Consider the following 20330-nt stretch of genomic DNA (forward strand, 5'->3'; position numbering starts at 1 on the left):
CTGGGATTACAGGCACACGCCACCACACCTGGCTAATTTTGTATTTTTAGTAGAGCCAGGGTTTCACTATATTGGCCAGGCTAGTCTCGAACTCCTGACCTCAGGTGATCCACCCACCTTGGCCTCCTAAAGTGCTAAGATTACAGGCGTGAGCCACTGCACCCAGCCTTGTATACTCTTTTGTCCTCATTTCAGTGAAGAGAATTAATGTAAGAGAAAAATGGGGCAACGAGAGAGAGATTACTGAAAACACTTATTGTGAGGAATGAAGACCTGACTCTCAATTCCACTATGAGCACGTTACAGGCAGCTCTGGACACACTGAGGCTAACAGTCGATAGTTGACTAGGCTGTAACACTTACACTTACAGGTTTTGCTCTCCTCTTTGTTAAGGCAGGCAGGCAATAATGGGTTGATGTGTTGCAACTTCTGGGCTAAGATCACATGAATTCTCGGCACTAATGAAGCAGGAGGACTGTGTACTCTCTGCTCCTCTGCTGTGTCTGTGCACTCCATCGGATCCAGCAGTGCAGAGGCATCCCTGTGGAGAGGTGATAAAGTTTCAATTTAGAGAGACATCAATTGCACAGATGCAAAAATAATGTGCATCTTGGAAAACAAAATTAGAGTTAAAGCCAAGAATATTTCCACCTGTACATCTCCTTAAAGAACAGAAAGTGGCCTCTCATTCTAAAGTGTTACATCACACAGACTTCAGGCTTGTTAAGACATATCATGAAATAATGCATTTATTCAATTTTTCAAGAACGGTATTTTTATTTTTATTTTTTTTTTGGATGGAGTCTCACTGTGTTGCCCAGGCTGGAGTGCAGTGATGCGATCTTGGCTCATTGCAACCTCTGCCTCCTGGGTTCAAGCGATTCTCATGCCTCAGCCTCCTGAGTAGCTGAGATTACAGGTGCACACCACCATGCCTGGCTAATTTTTGTATTTTTAGTAGAGACAGGGTTTCACTATGTTGGCCAGGCTGGTCTCGAACTCCTGACCTCAAGTGATCTGCCTGCCTTGGCCTCTCAAAGTGCTGGGATTACAGGCGTGAGCCACCATGCCTGGCCAGAAACAATAATATTTGTTATTCAGCACTTCAATAAATGGAATGTAGGATGTCACTCATAAGGCTATTTCAAAACACAGGTACTCCTTGAACTATTGGCCGGGACATCGAATACTTGACAGCAGATCTCAAAAACTGGGGTCTTTTTCTCAAAAGCCATCTGGTATCTATTATTCAGCGTGTGGAGAATCCATTCATCTCTTATCTTGCTAATTGTTTTTCCTAAATTTAATTCTTACATGATCCCTCGAAGACTGAGTAGACAAGCAATGAAAGTATGAATTTTTCAGACTTGCTAAATAAATCTGCAGATGATAGATTTGTGAGACGACCAAAACAAATAGCTAATCTTTTAGATCTTGACTTTATAGAATCTATAGACACTGAAGTAATAAATTCATACTCCTGTATTTTTTAATACAAGCATAATAACCTTTTCCATAGTACGTACCATGTGACAGACAACGTTCAATGCCTTACACGTACAAATTCACCAAAACCTCACATCTACCCTTATTTACAATGAGGAAACCAAGCCCAAGGTGACATAGCTAGTAAGTGGCCAAGTCAGGACTCCAACCCAGGCTGCCTGCCTGTCTGTGCTCTTAACCTCTGTGATGGTTAATACTTTGTCAATCTGACTGGATTGAAGGATGAAAATTATTGTTCCTGGATGTGTCTGTGAGGGTGTTGCCAAAGGAGATTAACATTTGAGTCAGCGGGCTGGGAGAGGCAGACCCACCCTCAGTCTGGGTGGGCAGCATCTAATCAGCTGCCAGCATAAAGGCAGGCATGTAAAGAGCAGACTGGCTGAGTCTTCCGCCTCCACCTTTCTCTCATGCTGGATGCTTCCTGCCCTCAAACATCAGACTCCAAGTTCTTCAGCTTTTGGACTCTTGGACCTACACCAGTGGTTCACCAGGAGCTCTTAGGCCTTCAGCCACGGACTGAAGCCTACACTGGTGGCTTCCCTACTTTTGAGATTTTGGGACTCAGGCTGGCTTCCTTGCTCCCCAGCCTATTGTGGGATTTTACCTTGTGATCATGTGAGTCATTCTCCTAATAAACTCCCCTTCATATATTCATCTATCCTATCAGTTCTGACCCTTTAGAGACCCCTAATACAACCTCTAAACTAAACTACATCAATAGTGAAGTAACTAAAGCAGGAAAGTCATCACAATCAGAAATTGCCAAGATGAACAATCTCATATACTATTATTAAGGGACGGTTAAGCTTATTTAAAGTTGTTTAAAATTTTTGTTTTGTACCATTTTTTTTTAACTGTGAAAAATGTTAAGTTCATCCTACACAGAAACTAAGATGATTAATGTCCGGTATTCAACAAGAGGACTCTGGTGTAGATGAGGGACATCAGCCCTTGCTTTTGGCAATCTCAAAACAAAACAAAAATGAATGAGGAAGGTCTAGATTTCCAAGATATGTTGTTAATAAAAAAAATTAAAAAGTGTAAGAGTATATATACCATGTTACCTTTTATAGAAGAAAAAGGTAGAAATAAAATGTATACGTATCTTCATATTTTTGTAAAAAAATAAATACAGGAAGGATAAACCAGAAACTGTGGTTCCCTAAGGAGGCTGGGTGGGAACAGACAGCAGGAATGGGGATAGCCGAGAATGACACCTCTGAGAATCTTTCTAAGTAAAATAAATAATGAAATCACACTGAAGGGGAAGAAAAGTTACCTGAGTAAGTGGAACATAGCTCTGACTACACAGCTGCATTCTAAAATAAAAATGAACTGGAAATGTATTGAACTCTAATTACTAGGTTTCTGTTTTGTAGTGGTATGGGTTACCAATTCTGAAATTCCCTTCTGTATATGGTAGAAATGGGGAAACAACAGATTGTGAATAATGGGAATCAAATTTGTTAGAAAAAGAAGTCATAAATATAGAAAGGAGAACAACTAGAACATGTGACTCCTGCTGTGCTGAACTGGAATCAGAAATATGAACCCATGGTTTTTCACAGACATTAGAAATACACAAAACATGCATGTGAGTGTGTATGTGTGCATTTAAATGTGGGTGCGTATATATGTATCCATATGCTGCATGTATCCTAGCTCTGTCTACTTTAAGGGCCTAGATGCAAATCTAATCCAGTACCAACGAGCACATCTAGGACTCAGATCTTCAAAGCATACGATGAAGCTGCAACAGCTTAATATGCCAGAAAATAAATGTTAAAAAATGATAACATCATCTCAAAAAAAGGACCCGGCACCTGCTTAAAGTGGCTCCCACTAGCCAAATCTGGGAAAATTTGGGTCTCGAAATAAAATAATGATATTAACATTGAATAAAATCAGAATCTATTAGTCTATACTAAATATAAGTAAATACATTACTTGAATAAACAAATGGAAGAGGTATCTTTTATAGTAGAATGCCAATAAATAAATGTACTGCGTTAGAAAATTGCCAACAAAGTAATAACTGATTCAAGCAAGAATCATCAATGAATGCTAAAATAAATTGGTGAAAGTTTAATGAGAAACTGGATATTTATGTCCCCAAGTACCTTCCTCCAAGTTACTTGTCAATTACAAAGTGAGAAATGTAACTTTACAGAAGAGACATCTGGAAGTCACCACCTTAACCAACTAATGAAAATTAACCTCACCAGTAAAGGGACAAACTGACATCGCATGCCTCCTGCTGTAACATACTGAGGATACATCAATTCTGTAATATTCCTGCCAAAAATGCAAAACATTGAGTCTAACCATGAGGAAACAAGTAACTGGTAACTGGCTTACACTCTTCAAAAGCATCAAGGCTGTCTGCTCTCTACCACGTGAGAAGACAGCCATCTGTAAACCAGGAAGCGGGCCCTCACTAGAAACCAGATCTGCTGGGAACTTGATTTTGGACTTCCCAGCCTCCAGAACTACTGGAAGACATATATTTCTGTTGTTTAAGGAAAAAAAAAAAGTGGCAAGACCATGAAAGACAAAGGCTGAGGACTGTTTCAGATTGAACTCTAGTTATTTAGGTTTATGTTTTGTAAAGGTATGAGTTAACAATTCTGAAATTCCCTTCTCTATGTTGTAAAAATGTGCAAATGATAAGATTGTGAAAAATGGGAATCAAGTTTAAGAGAGTTACACTAATACAGAAAGGAGAACAAGCAGAACGACACCTGTGGTGCTGAACTGGAATCAGAAATACAGTATGAACTCAGTAGAAATAGAGAATGAGCGAGCTTCTGAACCCTGGACTGGGGGATGCAGAAGGGAGACGTGTAAGAAAGAACATGATTAAGACAATTAGTGAAATTAAGTATAGATTGTGGATTAGTGTATTGTATATTTGTGGCAAATTTCCTAGTTTTGATACCTGTACTCTAATTATATATGAGAAAGTCAGTACTCTTAGGAAATGTTGACAAGCAGTTAGGGGTAAAAGGGCTTGATTTCTGCAACATACTTTCAAGTGTTTCAGAAAAATGTGTGCATAGAGAGCACAAATGAATGACAAAACACATGGGGTGCAAGTGTTTACAACTGGTACATCTGGGAGAAAGGGAAAAGGGAGTTCTTTAAAACCATCCTGTAACTCTCCTGAAAACTTGAAATTATATAAAAATAAAGGAGACCAAAAAAAGAGCACACAGACTCACCTTTCATCATTATTCAGTATACTCAGCACAGGATCCACAGACAGTATGCCATATAGCTCAAGAATGTCATTTACTTTGAAACAATCCCAATCTTCATAAACCTAACAAGAGACCACATGAAATCACACTGTTAGAACAGACACAAAGCTTAAGATATTAGTCTTGAAGTACCAATATCTTGGAATTTTAGATCAGGAAACAGACCTTAAAGCAAGTCCTTTATTTTATAAATTTTTATAAATTGAGACCAAGAGTCATTCTGCTAGTTAGCAAATAAGTGAAAAACCAAAACACAGGATGCCTAACTTCCAGACTAATGTCTGTTTTCAATATACCACAGTACTACAAAAAAAAAAGGCTTTTCCTAAAATTAAAAAAAGCCTTTTCCCAAAGGCTGACAGTTAAAACTAGAACTGTGCACTATCTCAAAACCTATTAAACCACACCAAGAAAAGGAAAAAACAAAAACAAGATGATTAACTTTGCATTTATTCATAAACTGCAACATCGGATTAACACAAAACTTGGAATGGCCAGAAGATTTTTCACAATTTAAAAAAAAAAAAAAACCTTTCAAAATTGTCTGTCATGATGGACTTAGTAATAGTCAAGGCCATTTACTGATTAGACCTGGTAGAAGCAAGGCAGGGGAAAAAATGGTAATTTTGGTCCCTGTGCCATATGACTTAAGTGTCATTTCAGTTAAAACCACTGAGAATCTGGGTGCAGTGGCTCACCCCTGGAATCCCAGAACTTTGGGAGGCTGAGGTGGGTGGGTCACTTGAGGTCAGGAGTTCGAGACCAGCCTGGCCAACATAGTGAAACCCCATCTCTACAAAAAATATAAAGAACGAGCTGGGTGTGGTGGTGCATGCCTGTAATCTCAGCTACTCAGGAGGCTGAGGCACGAGAATTGCCTGAACCCAGGAGGTAGAAGTTGCAGTGAGCCGAGATCGTGCCACTGCACACCAGCCTGGACAAGAGAGTGAGACTGCCTCAAAAAAACAAACAAAAAAACCCCCCAAAAACAAAAAAACCCAAAATGCACAAAGAATAAGGATAGAAATCCTTAACAATCATTTCTGAACCTTCTATCACTTGCTCATTTATCAGGATCAAAACACTAGAATAAGTAAGATGGAAGAACAAACTATTAAAAGTTTTCTTCCTTCTGTTTTATTTTAAATATAAGTGAAAAATAGGTTTTGCTGAGAGAAGGAAGAAGACAAAAATGAAGAAGATATTATGTTAGAAATGATACAGGAAGGGAACAGACATAATTTAAAAGTTGTTCTGCTTCTGCATTTGAGATGTTCTTCGATTCTTTTAACTTGTTAGCTTACATGCAAAAGGAATGTGCAGGTGTGATTAAATTAATAACCTTGAAATGGGGGGGATTATCCTCGATTAACTGGCTGGGCCCCATGTAATCACACGGATTCTTAAAATTGGGGAAACTTTCTTGGTTGTGGTCAGATGAGATGTCAACATGAAAAAAATGGTCAGACAAATGCAATGTTGCTGGCTATGAATATGGAAGAAGGAGCCACAAGGCCAAGGAAATTCTCCCTTAGGGGCTCCGAGAAAGGAATGTAGCCCTGCTGGCACCTCGAGTTTACCCCAGTGAGACCATGTTGGATTTCTGACCTAAAGCCTGTAAGATGATAAACTTTTGCTGCTTTAGGCTATTAAATTTGCAGTGATTTGCTATAGCTAGCCCAGCACAAGGGAACAAATGCAAATGCTCAGACACTAAGCTACTTTCTGAGACACATAACATTTCAGTGTTGGATCTACGAAAGGTTTTATTACCTTCACAAGGCATGCAGGGCCCTTCTCTCCTGGCAATGGAAAATTCAAATCAAAAGGAGAAGACAAGTTCAGAGAGTTCAGCTGTTGCCCAGTAGAAGCTTCAGTTTCTAAACGTTTTGGCTCTCCACACCATTGAAGACCACCAACACTCCCTAAATTCAAAGGATAGCATTGCACTTAGTCATTTCTAAGGCCTCCTGGAGAAAAAGAACATTCCATAAGTGCCTTTCAAGTTTGATATACGTGATGCTTCTGAGCTTGCAAAGTTCAAGTTGTTACAGTTTTTAAGGAAACAGCACATACTAACAAAGTCTTTTGTTTGATCTGTAAGAGGACAAAGATAAACATGAAGATCTAAAAATTTTACTTTTTTTTCCCTTACTGTAAGATATCAACAAATTCCTCCCATCAAATCTCATGTATAACCAGTTTCAAAAGTTGATTTGCAATATGGTTACTTTGACATCTTTGATTTAAGGAATACATGGTCTACCGACAGCAAAACTCCTTGGTAGAACATACTTTTTCTATTAATTAAGCAGAATAAAACCATACAGCAATAAATTAATTTACCAAATACTTATTAATATCCAGTATGTACCAGGAATCAAACCAGTTGTTGGGGATATACAGGTCATTAAAAGAATAACCCCAACTCCTGAAGTAGTTACACTTTAGGGCTGATAACATGAGAATCAAATTATAGCCTGCCATACCACGAAACACCACTCAGCAATAAAACGGACAAACTACTGATACATGCAACAATTGGGATGGATCTCAAGGGAATTGTGCTGAAGAAAAGACAATCCCCAAAGTTTATGTAATATACAATTCCATTCTTAAAATGACAAAATTATAAGAGATGGAGAAGAGACCAGTGGTTGCTAGGGTCTAGAGACTTCTGGGGACGGAGGAGGCAGGAGAGTGGTAGTTAGGAGCATAAAAGGGCAACATGAGAGATCTGGGTAATGAAATATTCCCGATTTTAACTGTGGTGGTGGTCACATGAATCTACCTATGCGATAAAACTGCAAAGAACAGGCCAGGTGCAGTGGCTCAAGCCTGTAATCCCAGCACTTTGGGAGGCTGAGGCAGGTGGATCACGAGGTCAGGAGATTGAGACCATCCTGGCTAACACGGTGAAACCCCGTCTCTACTAAAAATACAAAAAATTAGCCAGGCGTGGTGATGGGGGCCTGTAGTCCCAGCTACTCGGGAGGCTGAGGCAGGAGAATGGCGTGAACCCAGGAGGCGGAGCTTGCAGTGAGCAGAGATTGCACCACTGCACTCCAGTCTGGGTGACAGAGCAAGACTCCGTCTAAAAAAAAAAAAAAAAAGGAAAAAAAATGATTGTATCAATATCCACTTCCTGGTTATGACATTCTACTATAATTACGTAAGGTATTACCACTGGGGGAAGTAGAGGCTAAAAGGTATACAAGATCTGTTTTTTTTTTTTTTTTTTGAGACAGAGTCTCACCCTGTCACCCAGGCTGGAGCATGGTGGCGATCAGCGCTCACTGCAACCTTCGCCTCCCGGGTTCAAGCAATTCTCCTGCCTCAGTCTCCCAAGTAGCTGGGATTACAGGCGTGCACCACCATGCCCAGCTAATTTTTGTATTTTTAGTAGAGATGGGGTTTCACCATGTTTGCCAGACTGGAACTCCTGACCTCAAGTGATGTGCCTGCCTCGGCCTCCTGAAGGGCTGGGATTATAGGTGTGAGCCACCGCAACCAGCCTCTCTGTATTATTTCTTACAACTGCATGTAAGTCTATACTGTGTCAAAATAAAAAGTTTAAAAATATGTATAGCCTAAAACATTGACTAAACACCAACAAGTGTTACTTTATATAAATAAAGTACTCAAATGCATAAAAAGCCTGCATTAAGACATTCAAACAAGAATGGTAAGAAATAAAAAGTAGCATCAACTGCTTAAGTGATAAGAGAATTAACATATTTCCTGGACTTAAATACACACTCGAATATATTACAATATATAAGTTACTATGATATTTATTTGAGATGGAGTCTCTCTGTCACTCTGGCTGGAGTGCAATGGCATGATCTCAGCTCACTGCAACCTCCGCCCCTCTGGGTTCAAGTGATTCTACTGCCTTAGCCTCCCAAACAGCTGGGATTACAGGCGCCTGCCACCATGCCTGGCTAATTTTTGTATTTTTAGTAGAGATGGGGTTTCGCCATGCTGTCCAGGCTAGATGATAGACCATTAATTTTAATATATTCTGGGGATCGGTGGAGAAAAAGAATACTACGACATTTATATGTATTTATAGTAAAACATTCCAATTTTAAACACATTAAAATATATCTTAGCATTAAGAAAATCTGGAAATATCAATTTATAAAGTAGAGTAATATAAGGGTAAATAAAATTCATTAGTAAATCCCTGTTTACCACTGACTGTTAAATTTGCCTTGGCCAGGCACAGTGGCTCATGCCTGTAATCCCAGAACTTTGGGAGGCCGAGGCAAGTGGATCATCTGATGTCGGGAGCTCAAGACCAGCCTGACCAACATGGAGAAACCCCGTCTCTACTAAAAATACAAAATTAGCCAGGCGTGGTGGCGCATGCCTGTAATTCCAGCTACTCAGGAGGCTGAGGCAGGAGAATTGCTTGAACCCAAGAGGTGGAGCTTGCAGTGAGCCAAGATCGTGCCACTGCAATCCAGCCACTGCAACAAGAGCGAAACTCTGTCTCAAAAAAAAAAAAAAAAAAAAAAAAAAAAGCCTTCTCTACCCAATCTTGCAGATAGTAAATGACCAGACTGATTTGTTTTGCCTCCTTGTCCTTTAATTTTTCCTTCTGATTAAAGGTGCTGAAGGGAAGTGGATAGCACATACTCGAATATATTACAAACTCGAATATATTACAAATATAAAGACAAACTTATATACCCACCATAACAAAGAAATCCACTGCTTATAAAAGCTAAGACTGGTTGGGCGTGGTGGCTCGCGCCTGTTATGCCAATGGCTTTGGGAGGCTGATATAGAAGGATCACCTGAGCCCAGGAGTTTGAGACCAGCCTGGGCAACATAGTGAGATCCCATCTCTACACAAAATTTAAAAAGTTAGCTGCATGTGGTGGCATGCGCCTATAGCCTTAGCTACTAGGCAGGTTGAAGTGACAGGGGATCACTTGAGCCCAGGAGGTCAAGGCTACAATAAGCCATGATTATGCCACTGCACTCTAGCCTGGGTGATGGGAGTGAAACCCTGTCTCAAAACACAAACAAACAAGAAAATTAAAAAGAAAATGAGAAAGCATGTTTTCAGATAAAAATAACTCATTTTTAGGGTAAAGTACCAGGCTTCTGTATTAAAAATAAATATGAAGATAGAAAAGACCTTTCCAGATAGTCACTTGAGACTCCAAACACATACATCAGAGCAGCCACTTGTCACAAAGTGATGCCTAATTGCTCATTTGCGAAGCACAGTCTCATCAGAGTACTGTAAAAACTCTCAACATGTCTGTAACTCTGATAAATTGCCAGCTCCTAAATATAGAGCTATATTATGTAACAATTCACTCTGAAAACCAATCTACTGTAAGAGAGCAAAGTCTAGAGAAAACCTGTTGGCACACACTACCTGCTTGTCTGGCACCTGCATGTTGGTCTTTCTGCTTATTGGGCTGTAGGTCCATATCGTCATCATCTTCATAACTCCTCTTGTGGCGACTAGGAGTGTAGGATGTTGAGGGACTGACTCGAGCTTGGTTTGCATTAACATAGGCGTTAAACGAAAAGTTAAGAAAAGACTATCATAAACTGAGGAATATCCTAAAGTTTTGCTAATTATATGACTTATAAAAAATTACTAGTTTGGCAATTCAGTTAAAATAGAATGCATTTTCATAAAAGGAGGCTAGACTTCCAGTTCTGGTCATGAGAATAACAGGTATCAACCTTATGCTGCTATCCTTGCTGTAAACAACAATGTAACTGGACAAAATATGTGAAGCAACTGTTTTCAGTCACTGGACAACAGGGAGCATAAGGTTATGATCCTTGAATGAGGAGAAACACAGCAGGTAAACTCCAAATTCTCCCAGCTCTCTCCTGGAGACGTTCTCCAAACTGCAACAAAGAGCAGTAGAGGCCCTCTCTTACTGGGTGGAGAAGACAGAGCACATGGTTCAGGGCTAGTGAAGCAACTGGAATTTGCAGAGAAGTACTAGAAAGGAAGTAGTTACGGATAAAAGACCCTGAAGGTTCCATTTGGATCTCTGACAAAACACTAAATTGTGGATATACAAGTCAAGACTCCCTGAGGACTAGCAGAGAACAGCTGCTAGTTGGCAGAGAGTTAAATGGAGACTCTGGAAGTAGTATAATACTATAATGGACCCTACTAGTCATCCTAGGCATTTGGGTAAGACCCAGAAATAGCAGACCTCATGAATAAGGATGATCTACTGTTCAACAAGGGCTGTTCTACACCACCCCTAACAAATCCCAGGTGGATGCAGTGGCTAACATCTGTAAATCCAACACTTTGGGAGGCTCAGGTGGGAGGACCACTCAGCCCAGGAAGTTGAGAGTAGCCTGGGCAACACAGTGAGAACTCATCTCTTTTTTCCTTTTCTTTTTTTTTTTTTTTGAGACAGTCTCGTTCTGTTGCCTAGGTTGGAGTGCAGTGGTACAATTTCAGCTCACTGCAGCCTCAGCCTTCTGGGTTCAGGTGATCCTCCCGTCTCAAGCCATGGGAGTAGCTGGAACCACAGGTGCCCACCACCAAGCCCGGCTAGTTTTTGTATTTTTTGTAGAGACAGAGTATTGCCATGTTGGCCAGGTTGGTCTCAAACTCCTGGCCTCAAGTGATCCTCCTGCCTCTGCCTCCCAAAGTGCTGGGATTATAGGCATGAGCCACTGTGCCTGGTCTGTTTTTTTAAAATAAATTATTAAAATAAAAAATAAAAATTCTATATCCAATGAAAATGTTCTTCAAAAATTAAGGTGAGGCCGGGTGTGGTGACTCACATCTGGAATCCTAGTGCTTTGGGAGGCTGAGGCGGGTAGATCACTTGAGCTCAGGAGTTCGAGACCAGCCTGGGCAACAAAGGGAGAGACCCTGTCTCAAAAATAAATAAATAAATAAATAAATAAATAAATAAATAAAACAAAATGAAGGTGGAATAAAAGACATTTTCAATTGAACAGAAACTGACAGAATTCGTCACCAACAGATCTGTATTTAAAAAAAAAATAATTGCTGGCCGGGCATAGTGGCTTATGCCTGTAATCCCAGCACTTTGGGAGGCTAAGGTGGGTGGATCACCTGAGGTCAGGAGATTAAGACCATCCTGGCCAACATGGTGAAACCCCGTCTCGACTAAAAACACAAAAAAACTGGCGTGGTGGCACACACCTGTAGTCCCAGCTACTCTGGAGGCTGAGGCAGGAGAATCACTTGAACCCGGGAAGCGGAGGTTGCAGTGAGCCGAAATTGCACCACTGCACTCCAGCCTGGTGACAGAGCAGGACTCTGCCTCAAAAAAAAAAAAAAAAAAAATAAAATAAAATCATAATCATAATAATATCGCTAAAGGAAATGATGCCAAATATAAAAAAAGATGAATTCTTCTTGCTTCTTAATTTATATAAAAGACAAACGACTGTTAAAAACAAAAATAGTATGTTGTGAGCTGTATAATCTAAGGATGAGTGAAATCTATGACAAAAATAGCACGAAGAATGAGACTACACAGAAGCAGATTGTTGCAAGGGCGAAGGATCAAAGAAGAAATCACAAGGGAAATTAGAAAATATTTTGAATTAAATGACAGTAAAAACCTAACAAATGAAAACTTGTGGGATGCAACCAAAGCAGTGACTGGGGAGAAATTTATAGCTTTAGTTGCTAACATTAGAAAATAAGAAAAATTTGAAATCAATAATCTGAGCATCTACTTTAAAAAGCTAGAAAAAGGGCCAGGCGCGGTGGCTCACGCCTGTAATCCCGGCACTTTGGGAGGTTGAGGCAGGTGGATCACGAGGTCAGGAGTTCAAGACCAGCCTGGCCAACATGGTAAAACCCCGTCTCTATCAAAAATACAAAACAATTAGCCGGGCATGGTGGCAGGCACCTGCAATCCCAGCTACTTGGGAGGCTGAGGCAGAGAACTGCTTGAACCTGGCAGGCTGAGGTTGCAGTGAGCCGAGATTGTGCCACTGCACTCCAGCTTGGGTGACAGAGCCAGCAAGACCCCGTCTAAAAAAAAAAGGCTAGAAAAAGACCAATTAAAACCAAACCAAAAAGAACAAAATAAAGCAGAAATGGATGAAGCAGAAAACAGAAAATTGAAGTGAAAAATAGACTAACATTATTGGGAATGAAAGAGATCAATGCTAGATATCCCACAGACATTAAAAAGAAAATACTCTGACAAGTTTTATGTCAATAAATTCAACAACTGGGTTTAAATGACTTCAAAACAGTCCTTGAAAGATACAATTTATCACAACTGACTCAAAATATCTGTTAAAAAACTGAATTAGTCACTCCTGTAATCCCAGCACTTTGAGAGGCCGAGGCAGGCAGATCACGAAGTCAAGAGATCGAGACCATCCTGGCCAGCATGGTGAAACCCCGTCTCTACTAAAAATACAAAAACTGGCGGGCATGGTGGCGTGTGCCTGTAGTCCCAGCTACTCGGGAGGCTGAGGCAGGAGAATCACTTGAACCCAGGAGATGGAGGTTGCAGTGAGCCAAGATCACGCTACTGCACTTCAGACTAGCAGCAGAGCAAGACTCCATCTCAAGAAAACAAAAACAAACAAACAAAAAACAAACAAAAAGAACTGAATTGGTAGTTTAAAATGTTCTCACAAAGAAAATGCCCAGCTTAAAACCGTAAATAACCTAAATGCTCAATTGGAGACTGTATAAACAAATAATACTTAGCAAAAGAAAACAAGAAAGAAATGAAGAACTACTGATACACACATGACTCAAATGCATGATGTTAAACACAAGATGTCAGACACAAAGACTATATATTATATGAGTCCATTTAGATGTCATTCAACAGACAAGACCAAGCCATAGTCAAGAATTCAGGATTGTGCTTGCAGGGGAGGAGGTAGTGACTAGAAAAAGGCAGAAAGGAATTTTTAGGCACAAGTTCTTTACTTTGGGGTATAAATTATATAGGTGTATGTGTTTATCCAAATCACTGTGCATTACCTTAAAATCTGTGCATTTCAGTGTAGGTGGGCCATGCCTTAAAAAATTACTATCGTAAATAAAAAGGAAATGTTTCTACAATCCCCTCTCAAAAGAGCCAACACGTTGTCTTCCCTTAATTAGAATGAATTCCAATTTGAAACTATTTTTTTACTTTAATTATCATATTTTTTCAGTACCTTTAAATGTGCCTTAGGCGGAGCATGCACTCTGGTAGGCTGAGGTGAGAGGATCACTTGAGCCCAGGAGTTCAAGACCAGCTTGGGCAACAAAGTGAACCCTGTTCCTACAAGAAATCAAAAAATTCGCCAGGGATGGTGGCACACGCTTGTGGTCCCAGCTACTTGGGAGGCTGAGGCAAGAGGACTGCTTGAGCCCAGGAGGTTGAAGCAGCAATGAGCCATGTTTGTGCCACTGCACTCCAGCCTGGGTGACAGTGAGTCCCTATCTCAAAAAAAAAAAAAAAAAAAAAAAATTACTTCAATCATTTTAACAGTATTTCACTATAGGAATGTACTGTTATTTTAGCATTACTCAGTGACAAATACTTAGCCCGTTTTATGGGTTTTCTCAATTAGAACAAATGAAACACACTTTATTAAAATAAAGCCAAGCTTTGCAAAGGAAGAATAATTAAAGGCTAAGTTTTTAGAAACCATCAACACAGTAAGAAAGTTCAGATAAAGGATATTTCTTTTACCCACGTAGATTCCCCAGGCACCGGAACACAATAGAAAGTCTGTCTTTCCAAAGTGGTATTTCGTGGAGAGTTTAAATCAAGTTCTTGTTGAGGCTGTGATATACATAAAAAGTGTTTTTAAAAATTTACTTTAAAAAACCCAAAATTTATTTTAAAATTAGCAACCACATTTTCACATTATAACACCACAGCAAATATTTTACAGATTAATTAACAAGTAACTAATTCCAAACTATTACTTTTTAAAAGAAAATGGATATAAAATCACTTCAAATACTGTCATCAAACACTTCCTCCCTCAAATCCAGAAAAATGGGACCTCTGGAGTGACTTATAATCTGGGTCTAGTTCTCTGCTTTGTGGATCTAGAACCTTACTTTTATGATGTTATCTAGGCCTTTTTATATTCTTAGAGTCTAACTCTTGGCTTATCCAAACCTTAGGAAACTGATTTATCAAACCCCAATATCAGTCCGTTAATTCACAACAGAAGTTGTTGCTCATTAAATATTCTAGTTCAGTAGGCAGATCTGGACAGAAAAATTGCCCTAATTTGGAAGGTTACTGCAAAGATTATATTAAACAAAAATGTAACTTCTGACAATTATTTAGAGTAATGAACTCATTTGAAAGATAGATTTGTGTAACCTTACACATGATGAACTTCAGGTCTGTTTTTCTTTTAGAGTGTTTCCATAAAATAAACACTGTGCCAAGCCTAATGGATCAACTGTATTAATGATTACAGTATCCCTTGTTTAAGGAGTCCTAACACATTAGGCTAATATATTACATTACTGTATACCATAAAAAGCTGTGTATTAATGTAACTCGGTAATCCCAGCATCTGGAAATGGGTCAATAAAATAGATGAGGCTGTCCATGTGTGACACTACCAAAGGCTAACAGAGAGTTGGTACACATGTTGCTCAAGAGTCATAAATAAAAGACTCATTCTAGGAGAAAGGTACCTTAGGCCTAGAAAGAAAGGCAAACAAAAAAATCCTTGCTTGTATGTATTAGGCTCAAATTTGATGTCTCCTGGGTCCTTTCCACTTCTTAGAGTTTTCTAAGTATATCTGAAAGAGAACATGCCTTTCCTAGGGAATAATATATGACTTTTGAATCTCATCTCCGAGCTACCTAGGAATGAATATTTCATTAAATTTCTGTATTATAGGCTGATTCTGACAGCTTTCTATGAAAGAAACAGTGAGATTACCATTGGCTTTGTCTTTGAAGGAATTAAAAAGGATTTAATTTTGCAACCTAGGGTTCTTTGTTTTACATATATTATATACAGATATTGGAGAGAGGAATTAATTTTGGCATTAACAGTATTTCCCCTTCAAAAGATCTTTAGAGGATTAAAAAAAAGTCACATCAAACTCCTAAATAAAACCAAATAAGGAAAACATTTCACATGATTTCTTGTAACTTATACACAAGATAAATAAATTTAAGATTAGCTAAACAAATTCTCTGTTTAGGAAAAAATTCTTACTAAAAATGTTTCATATATATTAAAGATACATACCCCACACTCTGCTACATCTCTATATTTTCCAAAATGAAGAACCTATGACCCCAAACATAGAAAAACAGAATTATATCAATATATCTGAACCAAAACTACCACCAACAGTAAAAGGACAAAATTAATACCACAAATTCATGAAAACAGCAATACTTACATGTGCTTTTGTGTTTTGGTTAACCGTTTCATAAACTCCCATGTAAAACTCAGGGTCAAACATATCCTGAATCATGCAACGAAATTTCACAAAACTATTAGGTTTCAAATAATGAAGGGGAACTTCGTTCAGTGATGGTACCTTAAAGGAAAATAATCAAGTCAGTCAACTAAATATCCTGTCTATACAACATTAAGCATATATACACAAACTTTATATCCAGACTCAAACTGTTACACACACACACACACACACACACACACACCCATGCCACATCAGAGAGCCAAATGATCTCAATGGTCAATATAATTGCTGGAACCCAAGTTCTCTTCCATTTCTTTCAAGTTTTAGATAACATTTGACCACAATGTAAAAGAATGCTAAAAAATGCTTTTCATTCAGAACACTTTTCAATGATCAAAAAGGCATTTACTTTGTTGAGCTCTTCTCTTAAAACTAGCACATGCCAATTCTTTTAAAATGAAGGTAATAAAACAAAGGTAACTGACACTCTTGCAACTAAAGATTTGTCTCAGGAAGTAACAGTCAGTTACTGCCACCTAGAGGCATAATGTATAAGTATTTACATGCTTAAACTTAATTAGCAAAAGACCAAAATCTTTTAATACAAATGTACTTGAAGCAGAAGTACATTAATTTACATATTTTTAAATTACATGTGGGTTACTTAGTTACTCTACTAAGAGAAACTGTATAGTCTGTCCAACCCTCTCCCTCGAAAATAGCAATAAGCTTACCCACTTAGGAGCATTATTTTCCTTCAGCTTTTCCTTAAAATACTCAATTACTTTCTTCTCCCAGTCAGGATTAACTCCATTTTGGGCTGAAAGAGAAATATACTTTTCAAAGCTAATGTACATGCAATATATAATAAAAGACTATGATCAGGTGAGTCACACAATAGTTTAGTCAGCAAAAAACAAACTAAAATTAGCTACTATGATAGAATGAATTTTTAGATAGGGTGTATTTTATGCTTCAGTGTGTCTGAAGTACTGCACAAGACACATTCAAGAAGCTGTACTGAGCAGGGGAAGGGGCAGTTACAAATCAGGAGGATGCTGACCTCCTGCAGGCTCTCTAGCACCCACAGTGTAGCTGGGGACACCTACAGAATGTGCTACAAGGCCACCTAGATTCAGCAGCATATGAAGCACTGCTTGTAAAGCATTCTGTTCTTTCAATACATTTTTATGTAGTTTTTTTATCTTTACAACTATCCTGAAATAAAGAGCCTAAGTTTTTTTGTTTATAACTTCATTTGGGAATAATTCCAGATTCAAAAAAGTTGGAAAGAACACCTGTATGCTTTGCCCCATTTGCTCCATCTCATATTTTTTCTGACTCATTTAAGTTGCAGTATCAGGTATTTTTGCCTACAAATATTTCAGCGTGTCTCCTAAGGAACAGTACTAACCATAGTACTGTTATCAACCTCAGGAAATTCAAAATTGGCACAATACTTTTTATTTAATCTACCATCTATATTCCTATTTATCATATGACCCAATACTATCCCCTCTATAGCACTTTTTTCCGTTCAGTTACAGGACCCAGCTTAGGATCACTTTTGCATTTAGCTATCAGATCTCTTTAATCTCCTTTCATATGGAATAGTTCTGCAAACTTTATATTTCATGACATTGCTATTTAAGAAGAATAAGGTCCTTTTTTAAAAATTGAATGCTTCTCAATCTGGATCTGTTGGTTCCCTTATGATCAGATTCCAATCAAGTATAACCGAACTGCTGTTTAAACAATGTTGTCAAACTACTGTATAAGTGATGTTTATCCTTCCAGATGTCTGAAAAGACATGATGTCCATCTTCCCTTCATTGGTGATGTTAATTTTGATCACCCAAAGTGACAGCCAATTACTCTACTGTGTAGTTACTATTTACTCCTTACAATTAACAAGCCATCTACAGCAGGCACTTATGGGAACTGGCCAAGACCAAAAAGTGAGCTATTGACGGAATACAGATTTATGTGAACTAAAACCACCAAACCACACAGCTGGCCAATCCTGCTGTTTATATTCATCACACAAGTGTTATGAAGATTTGGAGTAAAAAATAAAAAGTCTACACTTGTTATGGAGCTGCATCTGTTGAAAAGGACCATAAAATCCTAACACCATGTTTGAGCAGGACTTCCAAACACGTTTACTTAACTGGACAAGGGCCAGTTGTGAAAAAGAAGTAGGGATGGGGGACTCCTCAGGTGATACTAATGTGTAGGCGTTAAATCCACTAACAAACTAGTCCTCAAAGTTGGTTCCCTGACCAGCATCATTAGCATCATCTGAGTACTTGTTAGAAATGCAAATTATTCAGCCCAACCCCGAACCACAGAATCAGAAACTCTTAGGGGTGGGGCCTAGCAATTCATATTTTAAAAAGCCCTCTATGTGACTGACTATAATGCACATTGAAGTTTAAGAATCGCTGCTCTACTAGATACAGTGAATTGGGTAAAAGATAAGTGGGTATTTTCGCTTGTATTCAAAATGGATGTTTAAAGAAAAGACTATTACACAGCCACGACTGCCACACCAACTATTCTGCCTGCAATTGTGTAAAAGACGTGAGAATACCACATAACAAATAGTAAAGCTACATCAAGCAGTGACTGGGGAGCAGCAAGTTATTTCTAAGTTACTTGAATGTATATAAATGCAATTTTCTTTTTTCAGGCAGGGTGTTGTGTTGCTTTGTCACCCAGGATGGAGTACAGTGGTGTGATCCTGGCTCACTGCAACCTTAATTTCCTGGGCTCAAGTGATCCTCTGGCCTCAGTCTCCTGCGTAGCTGGGACCACAGGCACGGGCCACCACGCCTGGCTAATTTTTAAATCTTTTTGTAGAGATGGAGGTCTCCCTATGTTGTCCAGGTTGGTCTGGAACTCCTGGGCTCAAGTGATCGATCCTCCTGCCTCTGCACTTAAAATGAAAAAATCCTCTTGGCTGGGTGCGGTGGCTCACACCTGTAATTCCAGCACTTTGGGAGGCCAAGGCAGGCGGATCACCTGAGGTCAGGAGTTCGAGACAAGTCTGGTCAATATGATGAAACCCCTTTTCTACTAAAAATACAAAAATTAGCTAGGCGTGATGGTGTGCGCCTGTAATCCCAGCTACTTGGGAGGCTGAGGCAGGAGAATCGCTTGAACCTGGGAGGTGGAGGTTGCAGTGGGCCAAGATTGCCCCATTGCACTCCAGCCTGGGCGACTAGAGTGAATCTTCGTCCCCCCCCACACCACCTCCTCCACCACGCAAAAAGAAAAAATTATCAAGACACTGGATTCCTCCAGACTCCATGTGTGTCCTTAGGATCCAACTATGTATCCTTACCATATTGCTGCAATAAATCTTAGGAGGAGTACAACTATACAGTGAATCATATAAGTCCTAGTAAATCTTCAAGCATATGGGTGGTTATAGGACTCCCCAACACATTTGTATATCAATACTTCATTTCTTTTTATTCCTATTATTCCTCTGAATAACAACCAATTTGTTTATGTATTTGCTTGCTGAAGGACATTTAGATTGTCTTCAGGTTTGACAACTATAAACAAAACTATAAAACACGTGTCTGCAGGTTTTCATGTGAACATGAGCTTTCATTTCTCTAGAATGAGTATCTAGATATGACACAGTTGAGTACATGGTAAATGTATGATTAAGATTCTACCTGTCTTCCAGAGTGGCTGCACCATTTTGCTAAGAGATCCAGCTGTTCCCATCCTTGCCAGTACTTAGTACTATCACTATGTATTTTTAAATTTTAGCTGTTCTAATATGCAATATCATGGCTTAAATTTGCATTTCCCTAATGGCTAACAATGCTGAACTCTTCTCAGGGGGATATTTGCCATCCTTGTATCCTATCTGGTGAAATGTCTATTTAAGCCTACTTAAATCTTTTGCCCCTTTTAAAATTGAGTTTTTAAATTACTGCTGTGTTTTCTTATATATTCTGGATTCAAGTTCTTTTTCTGATACCGGATTTTCAAATATATTCTCCCAGTGTATAGCTTGTCTTTTCATGCTCCTAATAGAATTTTTTTTTACAGAACAAAGGTTTTTAATTTTGATGAAGCCCAATTTATCAAATTTTTGTTTTACGCACTGTGCCTTCGGTGTCATGTCTTA

The 20330-nt window shown here is 38.9% G+C and overlaps 1 protein-coding gene across 6 annotated transcripts in view, besides 2 other annotated features; it reads right to left on the reverse strand.

Moving 5' to 3' along the window:
• Nucleotides 1–20330, reverse strand: part of MCMBP (minichromosome maintenance complex binding protein) — a 44142-nt gene that overhangs the window by 13445 nt on the left and 10367 nt on the right. For 3 of the 6 annotated variants that reach the window (XM_011540170.2, XM_005270157.5, NM_024834.4), the window contains exons 2-9: nt 16915–17000; nt 16157–16297; nt 16000–16041; nt 14454–14555; nt 10166–10310; nt 6541–6692; nt 4729–4829; nt 364–542 (exon numbers count right to left, since the gene is read on the reverse strand). In XM_011540170.2, the coding sequence (XP_011538472.1) occupies nt 364–542; nt 4729–4829; nt 6541–6692; nt 10166–10310; nt 14454–14555; nt 16000–16041; nt 16157–16231 (796 nt within the window). In that variant the 5' untranslated portion in view covers nt 16232–16297; nt 16915–17000. The remainder of the gene's footprint in view (nt 1–363; nt 543–4728; nt 4830–6540; nt 6693–10165; nt 10311–14453; nt 14556–15999; nt 16042–16156; nt 16298–16914; nt 17001–20330) is intronic. The other 3 variants (XM_017016663.2, NM_001256378.2, NM_001256379.2) reach the window with 2 other exon arrangements.
• Nucleotides 7613–8112: an enhancer, noted in NCBI's record as "H3K27ac hESC enhancer chr10:121610009-121610508 (GRCh37/hg19 assembly coordinates)". NCBI's record gives its function as "activates a minimal SCP1, AML or CMV promoter by ChIP-STARR-seq in naive H9 embryonic stem cells {active_cell/tissue: H9 hESC(naive)}" and the evidence as "EXISTENCE:reporter gene assay evidence [ECO:0000049][PMID:30033119]".
• Nucleotides 14908–15077: an enhancer, noted in NCBI's record as "experimental_10254 CRE fragment used in MPRA reporter constructs". NCBI's record gives its function as "activates a minimal promoter by MPRAs in K562 erythroleukemia cells, with activity observed for both the introgressed and non-introgressed 10:121617389 variant alleles {active_cell/tissue: K562}" and the evidence as "EXISTENCE:reporter gene assay evidence [ECO:0000049][PMID:34662402]".

This window comes from Homo sapiens, chromosome 10 (assembly GCF_000001405.40).
Source record: "Homo sapiens chromosome 10, GRCh38.p14 Primary Assembly".
Taxonomy (NCBI): domain Eukaryota; kingdom Metazoa; phylum Chordata; class Mammalia; order Primates; family Hominidae; genus Homo; species Homo sapiens.